Source organism: Homo sapiens, chromosome 2, assembly GCF_000001405.40.
Source record: "Homo sapiens chromosome 2, GRCh38.p14 Primary Assembly".
Taxonomy (NCBI): Eukaryota; Metazoa; Chordata; class Mammalia; order Primates; family Hominidae; genus Homo; species Homo sapiens.
The window spans coordinates 240,948,812-240,967,769 of record NC_000002.12 but is presented as its reverse complement, the minus strand read 5'-3'; the positions used below and the strand labels follow the sequence as shown (position 1 = coordinate 240,967,769).

The 18,958-nt window shown below is 60.4% G+C and overlaps 1 protein-coding gene and 1 long non-coding RNA gene across 3 annotated transcripts in view, besides 6 other annotated features; one reads left to right on the top strand and one right to left on the bottom strand.

Annotated features, from left to right (window-relative positions):
- The window catches only part of CROCC2 (ciliary rootlet coiled-coil, rootletin family member 2), an 86,976-nt gene that overhangs the window by 25,542 nt on the left and 42,476 nt on the right, over positions 1-18,958 (bottom strand). For both annotated transcript variants that reach the window (XM_024453115.2, NM_001351305.2), the window contains exons 16-26: positions 18,673-18,791; positions 18,068-18,237; positions 17,260-17,436; positions 11,798-11,911; positions 8,326-8,469; positions 3,997-4,214; positions 3,145-3,304; positions 2,252-2,389; positions 1,777-2,134; positions 1,361-1,545; positions 305-425 (exon numbers count right to left, since the gene is read on the bottom strand). In XM_024453115.2, coding sequence (XP_024308883.1) covers positions 305-425; positions 1,361-1,545; positions 1,777-2,134; positions 2,252-2,389; positions 3,145-3,304; positions 3,997-4,214; positions 8,326-8,469; positions 11,798-11,911; positions 17,260-17,436; positions 18,068-18,237; positions 18,673-18,791 — 1,904 coding nt within the window. The remainder of the gene's footprint in view (positions 1-304; positions 426-1,360; positions 1,546-1,776; positions 2,135-2,251; positions 2,390-3,144; positions 3,305-3,996; positions 4,215-8,325; positions 8,470-11,797; positions 11,912-17,259; positions 17,437-18,067; positions 18,238-18,672; positions 18,792-18,958) is intronic.
- On the top strand, positions 319-13,153 carry UICLM (up-regulated in colorectal cancer liver metastasis). Its single transcript, NR_033841.1, has 9 exons — positions 319-443; positions 3,594-3,781; positions 4,024-4,506; positions 8,352-8,530; positions 8,648-8,693; positions 10,153-10,408; positions 11,310-11,400; positions 11,903-11,925; positions 12,271-13,153. It is a non-coding gene; the product is annotated as an up-regulated in colorectal cancer liver metastasis (long non-coding RNA).
- Positions 4,300-5,150: an enhancer, noted in NCBI's record as "H3K4me1 hESC enhancer chr2:241902037-241902887 (GRCh37/hg19 assembly coordinates)". NCBI's record gives its function as "activates a minimal SCP1, AML or CMV promoter by ChIP-STARR-seq in naive H9 embryonic stem cells {active_cell/tissue: H9 hESC(naive)}" and the evidence as "EXISTENCE:reporter gene assay evidence [ECO:0000049][PMID:30033119]".
- Positions 5,151-6,002: an enhancer, noted in NCBI's record as "H3K4me1 hESC enhancer chr2:241901185-241902036 (GRCh37/hg19 assembly coordinates)". NCBI's record gives its function as "activates a minimal SCP1, AML or CMV promoter by ChIP-STARR-seq in naive H9 embryonic stem cells {active_cell/tissue: H9 hESC(naive)}" and the evidence as "EXISTENCE:reporter gene assay evidence [ECO:0000049][PMID:30033119]".
- Positions 9,187-9,756: an enhancer, noted in NCBI's record as "H3K4me1 hESC enhancer chr2:241897431-241898000 (GRCh37/hg19 assembly coordinates)". NCBI's record gives its function as "activates a minimal SCP1, AML or CMV promoter by ChIP-STARR-seq in naive H9 embryonic stem cells {active_cell/tissue: H9 hESC(naive)}" and the evidence as "EXISTENCE:reporter gene assay evidence [ECO:0000049][PMID:30033119]".
- Positions 12,611-13,181: an enhancer, noted in NCBI's record as "H3K4me1 hESC enhancer chr2:241894006-241894576 (GRCh37/hg19 assembly coordinates)". NCBI's record gives its function as "activates a minimal SCP1, AML or CMV promoter by ChIP-STARR-seq in naive H9 embryonic stem cells {active_cell/tissue: H9 hESC(naive)}" and the evidence as "EXISTENCE:reporter gene assay evidence [ECO:0000049][PMID:30033119]".
- Positions 13,182-13,753: an enhancer, noted in NCBI's record as "H3K4me1 hESC enhancer chr2:241893434-241894005 (GRCh37/hg19 assembly coordinates)". NCBI's record gives its function as "activates a minimal SCP1, AML or CMV promoter by ChIP-STARR-seq in naive H9 embryonic stem cells {active_cell/tissue: H9 hESC(naive)}" and the evidence as "EXISTENCE:reporter gene assay evidence [ECO:0000049][PMID:30033119]".
- Positions 18,129-18,646: an enhancer, noted in NCBI's record as "H3K27ac-H3K4me1 hESC enhancer chr2:241888541-241889058 (GRCh37/hg19 assembly coordinates)". NCBI's record gives its function as "activates a minimal SCP1, AML or CMV promoter by ChIP-STARR-seq in naive and primed H9 embryonic stem cells {active_cell/tissue: H9 hESC(naive and primed)}" and the evidence as "EXISTENCE:reporter gene assay evidence [ECO:0000049][PMID:30033119]".

Below are 18,958 nucleotides of genomic sequence, written 5' to 3'. Positions count from 1 at the left end.
CCAGTGGGAACTGCAGGAGGCCAGGGTGGGGCAGGGGGGCAGAGGATGCTGGGGGCCGGATCGGGAGGGCCCTGATGGGCCTGTGGACGTCACTCCTCTGTGCTGGGGAAGTCGCTGCTGAGAACTCCGATGCCAAGCGCTGACCCAGCCTCGCCAGGCCTGGTGGTTTGGGTGTTGCCCCCAGGCTCCCTTCCCACCGAGCTGCCCCAGGGACTGAAAGCTTATAGCCGGCAGCAGTGGGGACATGGTGGTGCCACTCTCACAGCCACTCCCAGGGTGGGCGGGGCAGGGCAAGGGAGGTCACCTTCTTCCGCCTCAGCCAGGGCTTTCTGCAGCTGCCCCACGCGGCTCTGGGCCCGGGCACACCTGCACTCTGCCTCGCTCAGCCGGCTGCTCAGGGTCGCCATCTGGATGCGGGAGTCATCCTGGGCAGAAGGACTGAGGTCAGCGGGGGCAGTCCAATGGGCGGGTGGAGGGCCAAGGTGTCTGCTAGAGGGTCGGGGCCAGCTGGGGCCGCTCACGGTCTGGCCTGCAGGTGTGCAGGGCAGGGCAGTGGGTGGTGTGGGCCGTGGGCTCGGGGAAGGTGCGGGGAAGGTGATCACACTGGGAAGCTGCGCTGACCTGCAGGCCTGGGGAGGTGGAGGCGCCCAGTGAGACTCGGCCTAAAGGGTCCAGGTTTCAAGCACAGGTGTGGTGTGGGAGAGCTGGCAGGTGGCGGCCCACAGCCTGTGGTCAGGGGGACCGGTAGGGGCTGCCCCTGGCGGGACTTGGGGCTGAGTGCAGACGGGACCCTGCCCCCTGGGGCTGGCAGCGGTGGGAGGGTGGGCCCGAAGGGAAGGAGTGTGCACAGAGGACCCTGGCCAGGGCTCAGGGCCTGCCTCTGTCTTTCCCACAGTCCTGCCCACTGGAGTCATCCAGCGAGGTGGGAGGGGGCCGCTCACGGGTGGTTCTGTGGGAGCCCTGAAGCCAGGAGCAGCCACTGGGGAGCTTGGCCCCACCGGAGGGGTCTTTGGGAGCATTGAGGGGAGCTTGCTGGCTCTGTCCTGCAGTTGCCCAGCCCCGGCAGCTCTTCAGGGGTGGCATGAGTTGCAGAATGCCCTACCCTGGGCCCTGGTGGGTGTCACAGCAGGGCCTGGCTCCAGGGGCTTTTCAGCCTGGTATAAGGAAGGGGGCGGCCTCCAGCCACCCAAGGCACTTGGGCTTGGGGGCCATGGTGGTGCTGGTGTTTATCACAACAAACAGGACGGCCTGGACACTGACCCTCAGACCCAGGGACGCGCGGATGGATGGACAGCAGGTGTTCTTCCCAGAGACCCCCGGGGGGTGCCGCCGTGGGCGGGAGGACCCCAGCCCCCATTACCCGCTCCCGCTGGGCTTCCCGGAGCTTCTGCACAAAGTCCCGCAGGATGTCCTGCACGGTGGCCACATCCATGAGCTCTGAGCTGCGGCCTCCGGGTGTGGGCGAGGGCCATCGGAGGGGCGAGTGGGGCCTGGCTGGGGGGCTGGTACCCTGTTGCCCAGGGAGAGCCTGGGAGCTGTCGGAGCCTGCGGGAGGTGACAGCGGAGGGGTCGTGGACAGGAACACAGTGACAGATACACGCCCTTCCCCTTTCCTCTCTGCTGCCCCAGCCATGGGAGGTTGGGGAGACGGCCACAGGTTCCTACAATTGCCTGTCCGAGTCCCTCACTGTGTGAGTTGTGAGGCCTGAAAGAGAGGTGCCAGGCCAGGGACTGAGCTGGGAGAGGGGCCCGCCTGCCTCCACTGAGGACTCTGACCTTTGGTGGGGGAACCAGGCTGCTCCGGGGAGGCCCACGGGCTCTGTCTCTGGAGCCCCAGGCCACGGCGGAGCGTGGAGCACAGCCGGCCCAGCTGGGCCTCCGCATCCTGCCTTGCACCCTCAGCCTGGGCCAGCTCCTGCTCCAGGCTGTGGATTCGGTGACAGGCCTGGTCCAGGCGAGCCTGGAGAGCATCAGCCACACCACTGGCTTCCTGCAGCTTCCTGGTGACACTGTGCAGCTCTGCTCGGAGGGTCTGCTCAGCCCCCCGGCTCTCACGGAGGTGCTCCTGGAGCCGCTGTCCATGGGCCTCCCCTGCGGCCTCCACCTCTGCCAACTTCCTCTGCAATCCCAGGACCTGTAGGAGGGATGTTGGGGTGCGCCCGTGGGAGACAGTGAGGAAGTGGGGTGGGCCTCCTCCCTCTGCTCCCCGACGCCCAGCTCCTTCCCTTCTGACCACAGGCAGCCCTCCCACCTCCTTCCGGGCACCCTCGTGCTTGGCCTCTGCCTTGGCTGCCTGCCTCCGCAGCTCCAGCACCTCCTGCGAGCACTGCGCCTGCAGCTCATGGGCCTCTCCACTCCTCCTCTGGTTCTCGGCCTTCAGTGTCCTCACCTGGGAGCGTGGGGCCGCACGGACAGGGTCACTGGTCTCTGTGCTGGAACCCAGGCAGCCTCCCTGCCTCCTGCCTCCGCTCACACGTCCCTTGAGGGCAGCTGGCCACACTTAGGGAGGCTTGGGCTAAGGTGCCCCAAAGGACCTTGCCCTGGGAGTTGTCACCCTCAGCCACTCTGTAGACACCTACCTGGGACCTCCTCGGAACCTCCTTGGAGGACCTGGGACAAGGAGGAGGCTCAGGTGGGGCGGGGTGGGCACTGATTAGGGAGTGTGGGCAGTGGCTGGGGTGCATTGGACCCAACTGCCCCGAGGCCGCCATTACAGGAGGGAGCCAGGCCTTGGGGGGACCCGGCTTGCCAGCACCCTGCCCTGCAGAGGCCAGGCCTCCCCTCTAGCCTGCCTGAGTTCCCGAGCGCCACCGGAAGGTGTTGCATGTAGGATACTTCCGTGTGCTGCTGTGCATGCCGGAAGGTGTTGCATGTAGGATACTTCCGTGTGCTGCTGGGCATGGTTCCCTTCCTCCTCGCTAAAGCATTCCTGGTTTTGCCCTCTCCAGTCTTGTCATCTGTGCCCCATGGGGACAGACCCAACCAGGGACCCTGTGAGCCTGAGCAGGGCGTGGCCCAAAGTCTGGGGACAGAGTGGTTCAAAGGCGGCAGCAAGGCCAGGGCTGGGGGCTCCCCTGGGAGGAGCCGGGACCCACCAGGCGGGAGGGTGCCTGGTTGGATGTTGACCCCTCCCTGCCGCCCTACCTGTCTGTGGAGTTCCCGGAGCTCCTGACGGGCGTCCCCCCCTGCCTGCTCCAGCTCCCACAGGTGGGCCCGCAGTGCACTGGCCTCCTGCTGCAACGCCGCCTGGGCCTCCTCCAGGATGAGCAGCTTCTGCTCCTTCTCCTCCTTGGACCGCTTAAAACTGACGAGGGTGCCACAGGCTGGGGCCCCCGCACCTCCTGGTGGGGCCAGCACAGCTGCCCAGCAGGTCTCTGCCTCCCCTAGTGAGGCACTGGCCCCAGTCTTGACTCTGCACAGTGTCCTCAAACTCAGCCTCTGCAGGGTTCCCTGTCACCTTACAGACATATGTCCACCCAGGTCCCGGTGCCGGCCGCATGGCCCCTGTCCACTATCCACCTCTTCAGCCCCTCCTCACCTCATCCCTCCCTGTCTCCCCCTCTCTGTCACACTCCCGGACGCTCAACATCCAGCCTAGCCTGGTACCTCTGCCACCTGCTGTGAGGGCTGTGCCATCCTGCCCAGCTGCCCCACAGGGGCCTTTCTAGAGCCCCAGCCAGGCCGTTGGCCTCCCTCTGCTCCCCAGCTCTGCACCACCTCCTGGAGGCCACCTGTGACCTATCTTGCCTGCTGGATGGGAACTCCCTGTGGGCAGGGACAGGTGTGTCCATGTCCTCAGCCATCCCTCGCACTGGCCAGCATTGCAGACCTCTTGGACTGGGCAGCGGGAGGCCTGCTTGGCATGTCTACCCCACCATCAGTGGGGCCCAAGTCAACAGGACGCCCCTGCCTAGCCCCCTTGCCCCATCCTCCCTACGGCCTGGGTGGGCAGCAGGCTGCAGGGCACCCCCAGCTGCTCCTGGGTGGCCGCCATACCTGGCCTTCTCCTGTTCGGCCCTGCAGATGGTGGCCCGCAGCTCGCTGTTGAAAAGCAACAGTACGTCCTTCTCGCGGGCCTCGTCACTCAGCGCCCGGCGGGCCTCCTGGGCCTCCCTGTGCAGCCCCTCCCGGCTCTCCTCGACGCCCTGCAGCTCCTGGCGCAGTGCGGCCAGTCCCTCCTGGGCCACGGTCAGCTGTGCCCGCAGCCTCTCAGCCTGGGGAGGACCATTCAGCTCTAGAGGCCCGCTGGGGACCACTGCTCCAGGGATAGCCACAGGGGCCTGTGGCCTCTGACATGGTGTGGCAGGCACAGGTGCCCTGCCCAACTTGGTCCCCATGCGCTTTGCTCACCCCATGGAGCCACCAATCCCTAGTGCTGCGGAGGCTGCAGGGCGGCTTCCACGGGCTGAGGCAGGGCCAGCCTAAGAGCCCAGAAGACCCCACCTTGAGCCCCTGGGCCCGGCCCCACGCTGCGGCCTCTCTGGACCCCCAGGACGCTGACCACTGGTAAGCAAGGCCTACCTGGGATGCGGCTCAGCACACGTGTCTGCACTGTCACTGCCTGGGGCCCTTCCCACCTCCTGCCCCCGGCGTCTAGTCCTCTCCTTAGGTGACAGTGTGGTGCCCAGGCCGCTGCCTGTCCTAGTGTGGGCAGCAGCCTCAGCAGGCAGGCTGGGCCTGACCCTGGCACAGTGACCCTGGCCCAGTGACCCCGGCACAGTGACTCTGCCACAGTGGGGGCTCACCCACTCCCTTGGCCTTCCTTCCCCCGTTGGCATGGGAGGCAGTGGGAGGAGGATCTCTGGCAATGGGGGGGCAGTGGGAGGAGGGTCTTGGTTTCCCGCTCCGGACACCAGGCATCTCACAGTGCCCGGGAGAACCCAGGGGTGGGGTCCGGAGGACAGTTGCAGCCTGGCAGGAAGGCCCTCCCCAGCACCTACGCTCTGGGGGTGGGGACTTGCTGGGGCTCGGCCCTGGCGCCCAGTCTCCTGCCTCCCAGGTCTGAGCTCTGGGCCTGACCAGAAACCCTGGAGAAGGCTCCATTCCGGCTCTCGTGTGTCCCAGAGGAGGAGGCGGAGGTAGCCAGCGGGGCATGCCCAGAGATGGAAGCCACAAAGACTCCGCGATGTCAAGTCGCTGGCTTGACAAAAGCAAACCCCTCTTTCTGGCTGTTTTCACGGGATATTGTCCAGGCCCCCGACCGGCCTGGCTCCCGAGGCTGCCGCTGTTATTGTTGTTCTGTTTTTGGGAAGGGCCAGAGCCTCCCCTCCGCTCCCCTCCACCCCCACACGTGGGAGCCATGACCGTGCTGAGCATTTTCCGCCGAGCTCAGCAGAAACCCGCCCAGAAGGTCAAGGACCAGCAAAAGGGCCCATGCATCATAAAAGAAACTGTTTTCATTTCCCAGCGCAGAGGAGATGAAAACAAGCAAAACAAATGCAGGGGAGGGCCTGCCCCCACTCCCGCCCCCACCCCACCCGCTCCCTCTGCCTCATGAGAACAGCCATCCCTTTTACAGGAATTTTACGGCCAAATCACTTAATGTGATTATAATAATTATTTCTTTGCTAGAAATTGTATAAACAGCCTCTTTTAAAAATCTCCTACAGGGAGGCAGCTCCAGAGCTCTGCAGGGAGGAGGGGCTGTGGAGGGAAAGCAGGGGAGGGTGAGAGTGTGTGTGTGTGTGTGAGTGTGAGTGCGTGTGAGTGTGAGTGTATGTGTGTGCGCGTGTGTGCGTGCGTGTGTGTGTGTGTGTGTGGGTGATGAGTGTGTGTGTGGGCCGGTGCAAGTGTCCTCTCTGTACGTGGTGTGCATACGTGTGTGTGCATGCATGTGTGTGCACGTCCGTATGCCTGTGCATGCACTACGTGTGTGTGTACATGTGTGTGATGAGCATGTGTGATGAGTGTGTGCGTGTGTGTCATGAGTGTATGTGTGCGTGCGTGTGTGTGAGTGTATGTGAGTGTATGTGTGAGTGCGTGTGTGTGATGAGTGTGTGTGTGTGAGAGCCAGTGCAGGTGTCCACTCTGTACGTGGTGTGCATACGTGTGTGTGCATGCATGTGTGTGCACGTCCGTATGCCTGTGCATGCACTACGTGTGTGTGTACGTGTGTGTGATGAGCGTGTGTGATGAGCGTGTGCATGTGTCATGAGTGTATGTGTGAGTGCGTGTGTGTGTGTGAGTGTATGTGTGATGAGTGTGTGAGTGTGATGAGTGTGTGTGTGTGAGCCAGTGCAGGTGTCCACTCTGTATGTGGTGTGCATACGTGTGTGCATGTATGTGTGTGCACGTCTGTATGCCTGTGCATGCACTACGTATGTGCATGTGTGCGCACACATGCGTGTGTGTGCTTGGTGCACGTTTCTGTGCACGCCTGTGTGCACTGTGTGGTGTCCATATGTGATTCCAGCGTGAGTGTGTGTGAGTGTGTGAGGCTTGTGTGTCTGCATTCAGCATGCACACACCACTCTGAGTGTCAAGTGTACACCGGTGTGTGTGGTCTCACTGCGTGGATGATGTGTATGCATGTGTGTGCACACGTGTGGACCTCAGGCAGGGTCTGAGAGACTGGAAGTTCCTCCAGTTTAAAGGTTGTGAAAAAGTTATGGTTTCCATGGTGACCCTGGGCCAGCCTGGCGCCTGCACGGGCTCTGCTTGCTTTTCTCTGTGATTGTTCCTCTTGTCCCCCTTAACCGTCCTCAGCTTTTAGCCCCCACTCCCTTTCTGGGCACCCTGCTCTGTTCTGCTCCTCTGAGAGCCTGACCTTCCCATGAGGCCTGCACTCCCTTCCTTGAGGCCAGCAGAACCAATGCACCCCCACCCTCTCCACACCTCCCCCTCCCCCTCCCCCTGCTGCCCCCAGTTTTGCAATCTCGTTTTGCTTCCCCGTGTGGTCGCTGACCGGGCCTGACTTTGAAATCTGTTGAAAGGAGACCTTTCTCCTTGGGGCCAATGTAAACAGCCGGTCATGTTAAATCATGTTCTCTTCCTCTCTCAGCCTGCCTCTCGGGGGTGCTTGGGGAGGGCTGAGCCCCTCTTCTCACTCTCCCCTGCCGGCCGGCCCGGCCTCTGGGGCGTGGTGTGCGCCAGCCGCTCGCTCCAGCACCAGGTCAGCTGCGCAGCCTCCAGCCTTGGCAAGCAGCCCAGGGAGTGTGCGAGGTCGCCCCGTCCCCGTGGGCCCCGCTGGGGCTCCAGCTGACCCTCCCCTCCTCTAGCCCAGATCCGCGTGCCCTCCTGCCCTTGCCACACACAGGCGTCCCCCCGTCCTGCCAACCCCCCTCAGAAATGCCTCTCCAATCTGCCTGCCCGCTGAGCCCAGGTGAGCCTAGCCCTGGCCACTCTTGCCCCCTGCCCAAGACTGTCCCCCACCCCACGTCACCATCATGTGGCTCCTGGGGGCCTCCGTGTCAACCTCGGGCCCTTGGCCAGGCCCAGGCACACCCCGAAATCTCCACTAACCCACTTATTTTCTTGCCTGCTGCCCCAAATCCAGCCTCCCCCGACCTTAGTGTCCAGCCCAGTGAAGTCCGCGCCTCCTGCTGTGTGGGCAGAGCCCAGCTTGTCTAGGGCCTCCCCGTGCCTCAGTGGATGGCTCGATGGGCCTCTTGGCCAAGGGTCCGAATTCCCCTTCGCCCCAGGTCATGCCTGTCTCTCGGGAAGGCTTTGGGAGGCGACAGCTGCCCCAGTGCCTCCAGAGTCAGGCCCTTCCTGACTCCACTTTCTTAACTGTGCGTGGAACGAGGGGGCCGGCTGGACTCCTGGAGCCTTTGGCTGCGTGGCTCTGGCCACCCTTTCACATGCTGGCCCTCCCAGCGGCAGGTGTGCCCCTCCAGTGCCCTGGGAGCTGGCAGGTGTGCTGTGCACCTTCCCAGGACAAGCAGGGCAGCAGGAGCCGCGTCGGGACCCACGGCAGCCTCCAGGGAGCTCCCTTCCCACTCAGCTGGCACCGTGACCCAGCCAAGTCCACCTGACTCAGCCAGGCCCACTTTCACCCTGAAGTCAAACTCACCCCTTCAGGAGGCTTAGAAATGATGCCTTCTTTCCCCTGAAAACTGGTGTCAGCTTCCCTTAGCCAATGGCCTGGGCCAGGCACCATTTCATCTGCCCTGAGAGCCTGGGCTTGGCTTAGTGCGTGGTGTGAGGGCCCCTTGTCCCATGCCCCTATGGCTGTTTGCCTCTTCCTAGTCCCAGGGACTACTCTTCCCTTCTCTGTGGTACAGCCTCTCTTTCCTCCTGGCACCCCCACTCTCTCCTCTCTTGGTACCTGCCCTGCTTTCTCCTGTCCTCTGGCATCCCCAGGAGCCCCCCAGCCCTGCCTCTCACCTCTCTCTCCACATCGCCCCGCTCAGCCGCTAGGTCCTGGAGGCTCTCGCGTAGGGCCGTGGTCTCCCTCTGATGGGCTGTGATGGCATCCTCAAACTGGGCCTGGAGGGCCTTCAGCTCCTCAGTCGTGGCACTGATGGTGGCCTGCGGGGAGAAGGGAGCCCACGGTGGCACCAGGGAGCTGGGCCCAGCAGTGGAGGGTGAGGTAAGGCCAGGACCCTGGAGAGAGAGGTGTTGCAGTGGCCTGGGAGGGGGAGCCGGGTCCTGCTGATCGTGCAAGCCCCGGGGTAACTGGCCCTTGGTTTCCTAAACTGTCAAACAGGCTGCTGGGATGAGGAGACATCCACGGCCCCTGACAGCTGTGATGTGTGAGTGCCCACGGACACAGCAGGAGGCAGCCCCTCAGCTCAGCCTGCGCCCTGGGGCAGGGCCCATCCCTACAGGGACCACCACACACTGGGCAGCTCTACCCTCCATTTGGGACTGAGCTCAGCTGGAGTCGGCTCCCTGTCGCACACACCACCCGAGGTGTCCTCTCGGGCCTTGGGGCAGTGTGGCCAGCAGGGATCCTCGGGCCAGGAGGCCCCAGGCTCAGCCCATGGCCCCTTGTTCATGGACAAATACCACCTTCTTCACCCCAAGCCCCAGGCCCCTCGGGACACCACCCCGCTTCCTCTCAAGGCCCTCCCCACTGCACCCCTGCCCAGGTTGCGGCAGCAGGGCAGATGGGGCTCAGGGGGTCTCAGCTTCCTGGGCCTCAGTGTCCTCAACATGAAGGGTCCGAGCCCTGCCCTGCTCAGGCTCTGCACCCCTGGGTTCAGGGGACTGGACCAAGCCTCCAGGCAGCAGCAGGCGGCTGGCGGGGGGCGGCTGGTGGGGGATGGCTCCCTCCAGAGCTGGCTTTGTGTTCCTGGGGGCACAGGTGCCCACATGGCTGCCCCTGTGCCAGATCTCTGGAGCCCCTCCTGTCCACCTGGATTCTGCTAGGGTGGGGGTTCCTGCAGCCTGTGCCCCCTGCTCTTGGGAAAGGAGCCATGCTGCTGCCTCCTGTCGTCATTCTTTACAACCCCCTCTGGTCTCTCTGGACTGAGAAGGGCCATCTTGGGTGACTAGGCCATGGCTCTGTGCCTCAGCATGCCCCAACACTGCCAGTGATGGGTGCCCCTGAGGCCTGGCTGCAGGATACCCCTGTGAGGGCCTCAGGGACAGGGCATCGGCTGGGAGCCCGATGGCAGTGGTGACTCAGCCTAGGGGCGCACGCTGTCCTGTCATCTGGCGCCTGGTGCTCCTTGGCCGGCATTCCTCTCCTCCCGCTCCTCTCAACAGTTTTAATTTCCATTTTCTGAGCCGAGGTGGCAAAGGAACCCTTAACGAGCTCCCCAGGAAGGCCGGCTGGCTGGCAGGCCTGGTACCGAGTCCGGGGGAGACTCAGGGCCAGCTCAAGAGAAGGCTCCAGAAGCCAGCACTGGCTCCAGAGAAGGCCCCTCTGTGAGCCAGAGGCATCAGCTCCCAGGGCCCCAGGAGGGCTTTCCTGGGTCCCTGCCCACGGGGTGGAGCCAAGAGAGCTGCTGGGCCAGTGGTCGGGAGGAGGGAGGGGCATGGTCACAGGCCCGATGCCAAGCTTGGTCCTCCTGGGCCCCGTGGAACCCTCCAGGCCTCAGGGGCAGGAACAGAGCAGGGTGGGGCTTCATGGAGTGAGGGGCAAGTCTCCCCTGGGCTGCCAGGAGCTCCTCTGGGCAGCCCTGCTTGAAGGGACTAGGAGTCCGGGTTGTGGCATCAGGCAGGAGGAGGTGAAGCGACACTCCAGCAGCCGCCTCCTCATTGCAGCGCCCTCTCCCGCTGCGCAGTGCCCTGGGGATGGGGCACAAGCCCTCCATCCCGGCTCCGAGTCACCGAGCGTCCCCCAAGGCCCCGCTGCCTGGACGCCCCGGCCCCCCAGCAGGCGGCCTGCGCGTGCCTCTGTGCAGTCAGTGAGAAGGGCTCCCGTTCAGAATGGGCAGAGAAGGGGGCTGCCTCCCGCGCCTGGCACCATGGCCTGTGTTCTGTTCACTGCACACTGAACCATACATTCAACGCCAGTCAGGTAGGTGTCCAACCCTGCGTCCTTGCCAGGGACAGGGAGGAAAGGCTCGCCTGAATTTAAAATAAGCCAACAAGTACGGGAATGAACGGCCTCGTCACTGAACATGCTGGGAGCTGGAAGGACAGAGGCAGGAGGCAGGTGTGGGCCCAGCTAATGGGGTGTGTGTGGCCAGGGAGGGCAGAGAGCTGGGGGTTGGCGATCAGCCTCGCCCTCAATCCTACCTGTTCCTGGCAAGGAGAGGAGTGGCGTCCGGTGCCTTGAGCCCATTCCCTCCCTGCCCAGGGCACCCTCGCACCTGTGTCTATTCAGGGCCAGCCCCTGCCACCCAGGACAGCAGCCCCGACCTCAACACAAACAGCCTCTCCTCAGGCCGCCTGGGCCCTTGGAGATCCTGCTGTAACTCCTGCATCTATGTCCTATCGCTGGGCTCTGGCCACCCCCCACTGTGAGCCAGGCCCCCATCTATGTCCTATCGCTGGGCTCTGGCCACCCTCGCTGTGAGCCCTGCCCAGTCTCTTCATCTCCCATGCGGGACCTGGTGCCCCATCACAGATGGGCTGAAGCCTTGGCGTTCTGCAAGCAATAACAGTGGGTGTCCAGCCTTGCCCATGAGCTGGAGGCACAGGCCTCAGAGTCCTCCTCCCCTGCTCCCCAGAGCCCTCCTCTCCAGAGCGCTCCTCCCTATAGCCCTCCTGCCCAGTGCCATATTTGCTGCTGCCTGTCCAGCCCCCTGGACTTGGGCTCCAGGGGAGGACCCAGGGGTCCCAGGTGACCCCCGCTGGCAGCCTGCAGCAGCCTTTGTGCATGGGAGGGCCTCTGTTCACTGGCTGAGGGTGGGCGGCTCTTTGCTGGGGGGCTGTCCTAGCCCCTCCGCGGACGCTTCTCTCCTGGCTCCGCTCAGGACTCAATGTGGGTGTCCTTTCCTGCCGAGAGTTTCCTCTGGTGCAGGGCCAGCCGCCTCGGGTTGTTTCTCCTTTGGAAGGATCTCTCTGGTGAGTGAGTTCCACAAGGCTGGTGCTCATGTCCCCAGCTGTGCTTTTCTACGAGCAGCTCCAGTGCACATATGGGCTCAGCCACTCGCTGCTGTTGGCTCATGGGAGGCCCCCAGCTGGGCCAGGCCCCCTCTCTCTGGCCCCTGCCAGCCCCAAAGCTAAGGGAGAACTGAGCCAGGAAAAGTCCTGGTACCCACTGCTTTGGTTCACTTGGATCTTTCCTGCCCATTGAGTGCCCCTCCCACCAGGAGCCCTGGAGGCACCTGGGGGAAACTGAGGCTCAGGAAGGGAGGGGATGGAGAGGGTCATGCCACTGGGACCAGGCAGGAGGGGTGGCCCCCTGGGGTCTGCCAGCACCTGCTTGGCTGTGCACGTGGCCTGGCTGCATGGGGCTCACCTGCGCTTGCTCCTGCTGGCTCTGTGCCTCCTGCTGTACCCGCTCTAGCGTCCTCCTGGCCCTGGAGAGCTCCTCACTCAGAAGGCTCCGCTCTGTTTCTTTCAGGGACAGGGCCTGAACAGGACGGGGTATGCTTGTGAGAAAGTTGGGGAGTCTCGGGGGAGGGAAGAGGCCCCCCTCTAAGGAGAGGCTGTGGCAGAATGCTGAGTGCAGAGGCTCCCCTGGACACAGCACGTTCATGTTCCTGTCTGCACATCCCTGCCACTGGGGAGGAGGGGCAGCTCCTACAGAGGCAGCCCTGGGCCCTGGGCCCTTTCACCCTCTGAGCGCCTGCCCTCTGTCCGACATCGTCCCACCTCTGTGTCTGCACTTGGGCACGTCCCTGGGGTATCCTCCCCTTCCTCTGCCTGTCTAAAATCCTGCCCTTTCCCATGCAGTTTGGGGGCCTTCATGAGCCACCCCCATCCCTCTAGGCAACACTTGATGCAGTGCAGAGAAGAAAGCTTAAAAGCCCGAAAATGCTCCATCTCCCTGATGGTGTGGGAGATGCGTGTGAGCGAGACACCCTCAGCTCCAAGGGTGGCACGCTGCTCCGTGGACCAGGCTGTGGAAGCAATGCCTGTCAAATCCACACATGTATATTCTCTCTATGCCCAGGCCCATCTGGGGGAGGGCAGCCCAGAGACACGTGTGCACCTGTGTGGGCTGACCTATGCGCAGTGTCACCAATGTCTGTGACATTGCTGTAATGGCAACAAAGCTGGAGGCAACCCAGATGCCCGTGGAAGGAAGAACAGCCACAGGAAGACCCAGTTCTGGCAGCTCAGCATGCAGCCCAGAAACAGAAGAACAAAGCTGCAGATACACAGCTGGGAAAGGCCACCGAGATGCTTTGATAAGTGAGAAGAGGAAAGCCCAGGAGCCGGCATAGACTTTTCATTCCTTTTGTATTAAAAATGCAGTGTTGGGGAGGTAACGCTGTATATTTCTGTTTGCAAGCAATCTTTGGAGGGTGTTGCATAACAGAAGATGTATCAGGTCTTTGTCCTGGATCCTCGGAGGAAGCTTCTAAACCCTGGGGGTTTCTCAGAAGTGTGGAGCGTCTGCATTAGTCCTGGCGGGCCCCTGGGACCACACCTGAGTTTATGCTAATGAGGTGACTCAGGGTGGGTTCCTACTGAATTTCAGGATGGGGACTGTCTGCTGAAAGACCCGTTATTAGAGGGTTGGGGCTTTGAGCCACGGGATGTCAGCCCAACCTCCCAGCAGTCAGAGAAGTGGGCTTCAATCACCTAACCAATCACTCCACCGATCACGTTACACAGTGAAACCCCAATAAAACTCTGGACACCAAAATGCAGTGGAGCCTCCTGGCTGCTGAGCACACTGGGGTGCAGGAGGGTGCTGGGCTGGCTCACGGGGAGGGTGCAGCAGCCCCTGTCTGTGACGTGCCCACACCTTGCCTGTGTGTCTCCTCTTCTGGCTGGTCTTGAATTCCATGTTTGATAATGAATCTCTAAGAGTAACAGGAGGCTTTCCTGAGTTCTGTGAGTCATTCTAGTGAATGGCTGAACCTGAGAGAATCATGGGAACCCCCACACTTGTAGTCAGGTGGTCAGAAGTGTGGGTGGCCTGGAGACCCCCGGACTTGTGGATGGTGTCTGAGACAGGGCATCCTGTTGGGAACCATGCCCTGTGGGGTCTGTGCTCTCTGGGTCAGAATTGCATGGGCATATTACAGAGGAATCAAAGAGAAAGGACAACTGTTCCCTGAGTGGCCTAGTGAAGGGGAGGGGCAGGAGTGGGGGATTTTTCACTGAATGGCTTTCTATATTCTAAACAATTTTAAAAATCAGTGCTCCCCTTCCTCCCTCCCTTGAGGCCCTGCTTGTTTTGCTCGGCTGGAGGCCGGTTGGCTGTTTATAAATCTGCCCTTACTGGACTATAAGGTCTGCAAGGGTTGGGGCCCTGCCTCTCCCTCCTGTACCCCTCATTACTGGACACAGCAAGGGAGTATTTATTAGAATTTTAGGCAAAACTTCATCAAATATAGAAGCGTGTCGTTCTCTCGGGTGAGAGCTTCACTTTGCAAACAGGTGTGGGCAAGCCGCCATTCAGACACAGCGGGTCGGAGAATGGAGGGTTCCAGTGGAGACAGCCCCTCCTGGGCCAGCGGCTCCAGGTCTTTGGCTCTTGCTCCACATATAATTCCTCTTCTTCATTACAGAAATAAGATCCCCAAAGACTGTTTTGTGACTGGGTCATCACAGGTTCCTCAGGGAAGTGTGGGGAAGTGTCCTGCTAGACCCCGCAGCCCCACTTCTCCACTCAATTTCTCTACACAGGCCGCCAAGAATAAAGGGCAGCTGGCCAAGCAGAGGTCCTGGGAAAACTCACTTGCTGCACCGGCAAGGGCTCCCCACAGGCCAGCCCGTCTGTGCTGTGCCCCTGGGGTGCCCCTTATTGTGGTTCTGCTGTGGGTCCAGGGGAGGGAGGGCACTAGCACATGGTGTCTGTCTGCCCTCTTAGCCTGTGCTCCTGTTTTTTTTTTTGAGACAGAGTCTCACTCTGTCACCCAGGCTGGAATGCAGTGGCGTGATCTCCGCTCACTGCAATCTCAGTGAGAATCTCCTGGGTTCAAGCGATTCTCCTGCCTCAGCCTCCTGAGTAGCGGGGATTACAGGCACCCACCACCACACCCAGCTAATTTTTGTATTTTTTTTTTAGTAGAGACGGGGTTTCACCATGTTGGCCACACTGGTCTTGAACTCCTGACCTCAGATGATCTGCTGGCTTTGGCCTCCCAAAGTGCTGGGATCATAGGCATGAGCCACCAAGCCTGCACTCCTGTTTGACCGAGGTCCCCTCTCTTGGGGGCTGTGTGTGCCACTGGGAAGCTGGGATTAAATAACCACATGAGAACAGGCCACGTTGCCCAGTGGTTGGTCTCGGATGGGAATGAGGGGCTGCGTGGGGGCCTTGACGGGCCACCCACTCCCCAGATGTGTTGCTTCCCCTGGAGCCTCTTTTCTCATATATCCAATGGGAATAATATCACCACCTCCCAAGGGGCTTTGAACTTACCTTTCTCCTCCTTTGCCTGGCTCTCAGCCCCTCTCGCATGGACCCTGCCTCAGCCTCTCCCCAGTCTCCTGGCCCCAGACTCGTTTCCGCCCAACTCCTATCATATCACGCCTGCTCAAGAACATCCACTGGCTCCCTATCACCTGATGCTGGCGCCCAAGGCCCGTCCTAGCTCCACTGCACACCTCTCTCACTGCTTCCACTCACGTGCAGCCTGGCAGCTGTGCAGAACTTCATGCCATGCCCAGACATCCTGCCAATGTCCACGTCCTCTCCACTCAACACTACCATTCCTCCTGTAAGTCCTTCCCTTCCTCTATCTAAGGATGTGAGTAGTGGGGCAGTTAAGAGCACAGACCTCAGTGCCCAGCAGGTGCACTGCACAACCCTGTGCAAGGCATTCAACATTTGTGGACCTTAGTTTTCTCACCAGTAATATAGGGATAATTAGAGCATGTGCCTCAGAGTGTTGCAAGAATCAAATATTAAATGCAGAGAGTTTGACAATAAATCTTGGCTATTTCGGCTACTGTAACTCCTCCTGCAGTTTGTCATTTTTTTTTTTTTTTTTTTGAGAAGGAGTATCTGGATCTCAGCTCACTGCAAGCTTGCCTCCTGGGTTCAAGTTATTCTCTTGCCTCAGCCTCCCGAGTAGCTGGGATTACAGGTCCCCACCACCATGCCCGGCTAATTTTTTGTGGTTTTAGTAGAGACTGGGTTTCACTATGTTGGCCAGGCTAGTTTTGAACTCCTGACCTCAAGTGATCCACCTGCCTCGGTCTCCCAAAGTGCTGTGATTACAGGTGTGAGCCACAGCACCCGGCCTGTAATTTGTACCAACATCTTATAGTCCTTATCACCCCATGGGACACAATGTGGACGTGTTCATGTGTCCATTCCTTTCACTCAACAGTGAATTCTTCGGGGTAGCATGATATACTGGAACAGCCTAGACTCGGTAGCTTTTATAGGGCTAGTGGCTGAGTCTCAACTGCTGATGGGATGGAAGGATGGCCAGATGTGTGGCTGGTAGTTGTGTGCTTGGCTTGGTGTTTGAGTTGGATACACTGATGGATGATTGGATGACTGGCTGGTTGGCGGATCCAGGTAGATGGATGGATAGACACATGGATGGATGGTTGGATATGTGACTTGACAGCTGAGTTTGTGGACAGATGAAAGGATGTTAAGTGGATGGATGGATGGATGGTCAGATGGGTTGTGGATAGCTGTGTGGATGGAAGGTTGGGTGCATGGATAGTTGGATGGATAGTCAAATGAACTGATGAATGATTGCATGGATGGTGAGGTGTGTGGATGGACAGCTACGAATGTGGATGCATGGCCATATATCTGGGTGGATAGCTAAATGTGTGGAAAGAAGAATGGATATTCAAGTGAGTGGGTGGATGATGACAAGTGTGTGGAGGGTCATTCAAGTGCATGGATGGATGGGTGGATAGAGAGATGATGGACAGATGGATGAATGGATGGATAGGTGGGTGGATGAGTGTATGGATGGATGGATGGGCAGGTGGATGGGAGGATGGAAGGATGAACAGGTGGATGGGTGGATGGATGGATGGATAAATGGATGGATGGGTGAATGGATGGACAGACGGATGGATGAATGAATGGATGGACAGATGGATGGATGGGTGAATGGATGGACAGACGGATGGATGAATGAATGGATGGACAGATGGATGGATGAATGGGTAGGTGTGTGGATGAGTGTATGGATGGATGGATGAACAGGTGGATGGGAGGATGGATGGATGAACAGGTGGATGGGTGGATGGATGGATGAGGAGGTGAATGGGTGGGTAGATGGATGAGCAGGTGGATGGGTGGATGGATGGATGAGGAGGTGAATGGGTGGATGGATGGATGAGTAGGTGGATGGGTGGATGGATGGATGAGGAGGTGAATGGGTAGATGGATGGATGAGCAGGTAAATGGGTGGATGGATGGCTGGATGGATGGATGGATAAATGGATGGATGGGTGAATGAATGGACAGATGGATGGGTGAATGGGTGGGTGGTTGGATGGGTGGATGGATGGGTAGGTGGGTGTATGAATGGACAGATGGAGGGATGGATGGAGAGATGGATGGATGGATGGGTAGCTGGGTGGAAGGATGGATGGATGGGCAAGTGGATGGGTGGATGGATGGGTGAATGAATGGACAGATGGCTGGATGAACAGATAGGTGGGTGGGTGAGTGGACGGATGGTTGGATGGATGGATGGATGGATGGGTGGGTAGGCGGTTGGACCTGCCTAAGGTGTGGCCACATGCAGCCCTTGTGCTGGGCCAGAGGTGACAGGTGCAGTGGGTGTGAGCAATCCCGCTGCCCCCCAGCCTCACCATCACCTGTTGCATCTTGTGCTCCAGTTGGAGAAGGCTCTCGTCCCGCTCCTGCTTCAGGCTCTGAATTTCCCCCTTCAGAGCCTCCCTCTCAGCTGCACTTTTTGTCACCAGCTCCTTCTCCTGCTCCAGCTGGCATCTGGCTACCTCCTTCTCCTCTGCCAGGGTCAGGCTCAGGGTCTCCTGGGCCAAGGTAAAGGGATGGGCTGTGAGGTCCGGCAGGTGAGGCCAGCAGTTGTCTATGGTCCTGAGTGAGACCTGGCCCGTGGGATGCCAGGGCTGATGGACCCCAGGGGCTGTCCAGACCAGCCAGCTGCACACCCCCCACGTCTTCCCCTCAGGGTCAGCAGAGCAGGGAGGGCCTCTCTGTGTCTCAGCACCTGTCATCCCATATTCATCTATCAGTTTGTAAACCATTCCTGAGTCTCTGCAGTGCACCTGCCACGGAGGGGTGTAAAGACATGTCAAACCAGGCCTCCAGAAGCCTGTGACCTGTGGGACGGCTCTAATGGGTGTGGGGCCCCCTCCAGCCCTCATCCTTCAGACTGCACCAGACCAGCCAGCAGCCCTTCCAGCCTCTTCCATGAGGGAGGCCCGCCCCAAATACAAACCCAAGCCCAATATGAGGGCTCCACGGGGAAGGCCCTGGATGCCCACGTGAACTATAAAGAGTGAGCTGGTCCTTGCCCAGCCCTGGCCAGGCGCCTATGTCTCTGAGCTCTGTCTCCCAGGGCCCCCTCCTCCCAAGGGCCTGCCATTCCCCGGGACCTGGTAGCCTTCTAGGAAGCTACTGGTGGGCTCCTGGGAAGCAGACCTTCTCCCTTTGGAGCTGTGCCAGGGCCTCTCGGTGGGCCAACGCCTGGCTCTCCAGGGCCCGCTGTGCCTCCCGCTCCTGCTGTGCCACCTGTCGCTGGAGCCGCACCGTGTCCTGCCGCAGCTTCATTTCCTGGACCTCCCAGTCACTTTGTAGCTGCTCCATTTCCACTGTGGGGTGATGGGTGAGATGCACCAGGGCCTGGCATGTGGACCCCTGAACCCTTTGGGACTTCCTAGGGAGTGACAGTCTTGGGGGCAAGCACTGTCCACTCCAGGCTCCGGGAGTGGGTGGCCAGCACATGGCAGGGTGGGCTGAGCAGGGTCAAGGGTACAGGGCTGCAGCTGGAGGCTACATGCTGACCCTGTGGCCAGAGCCCAGTTCTAAGCCTCAGGCTGGCACCAGGTGCAGCCTGGGCAGGGTGTTGCTGCTCCTCATGGGCGAGGGTGGCCCAAGTCGCTCAGTCGCATGAGCTCCAAGCTCATGTTCATGCCCCTGTGGGCTCCGGAGAGGGGGTGCAGCACGTGTGGGCACTGAGCTCCATTCCAGGGGCCCCTCCATGGCTGACTTTCGGGGAAGGAGCTGAGGGAGCGCCCTTGGAGCACCTTGCAAGGCCTGCCGCGCGAGTCCTGCGCTCCGGGCTTCCTCCTCCAGCTGCTCCTGCAGCTTTGTGGCCAGCTGTTGGGCCTCAAGGAGGCTGCTCTCCAGGGAGTCCCTCTCCACCCTGCAAAGATGCAGCAAACAATGGGCAAGTCATCCCCAAGATCCTGCGTGTAAAATGCTCTCTATAGCTTTACACAGGTGTTAATGAGACTCAGCTGAAATGCAAATAAATGGAAGAATGTTTTAGAAATTATGGTGCATCTCTGGAGCACCATGTGCTGTTAACAA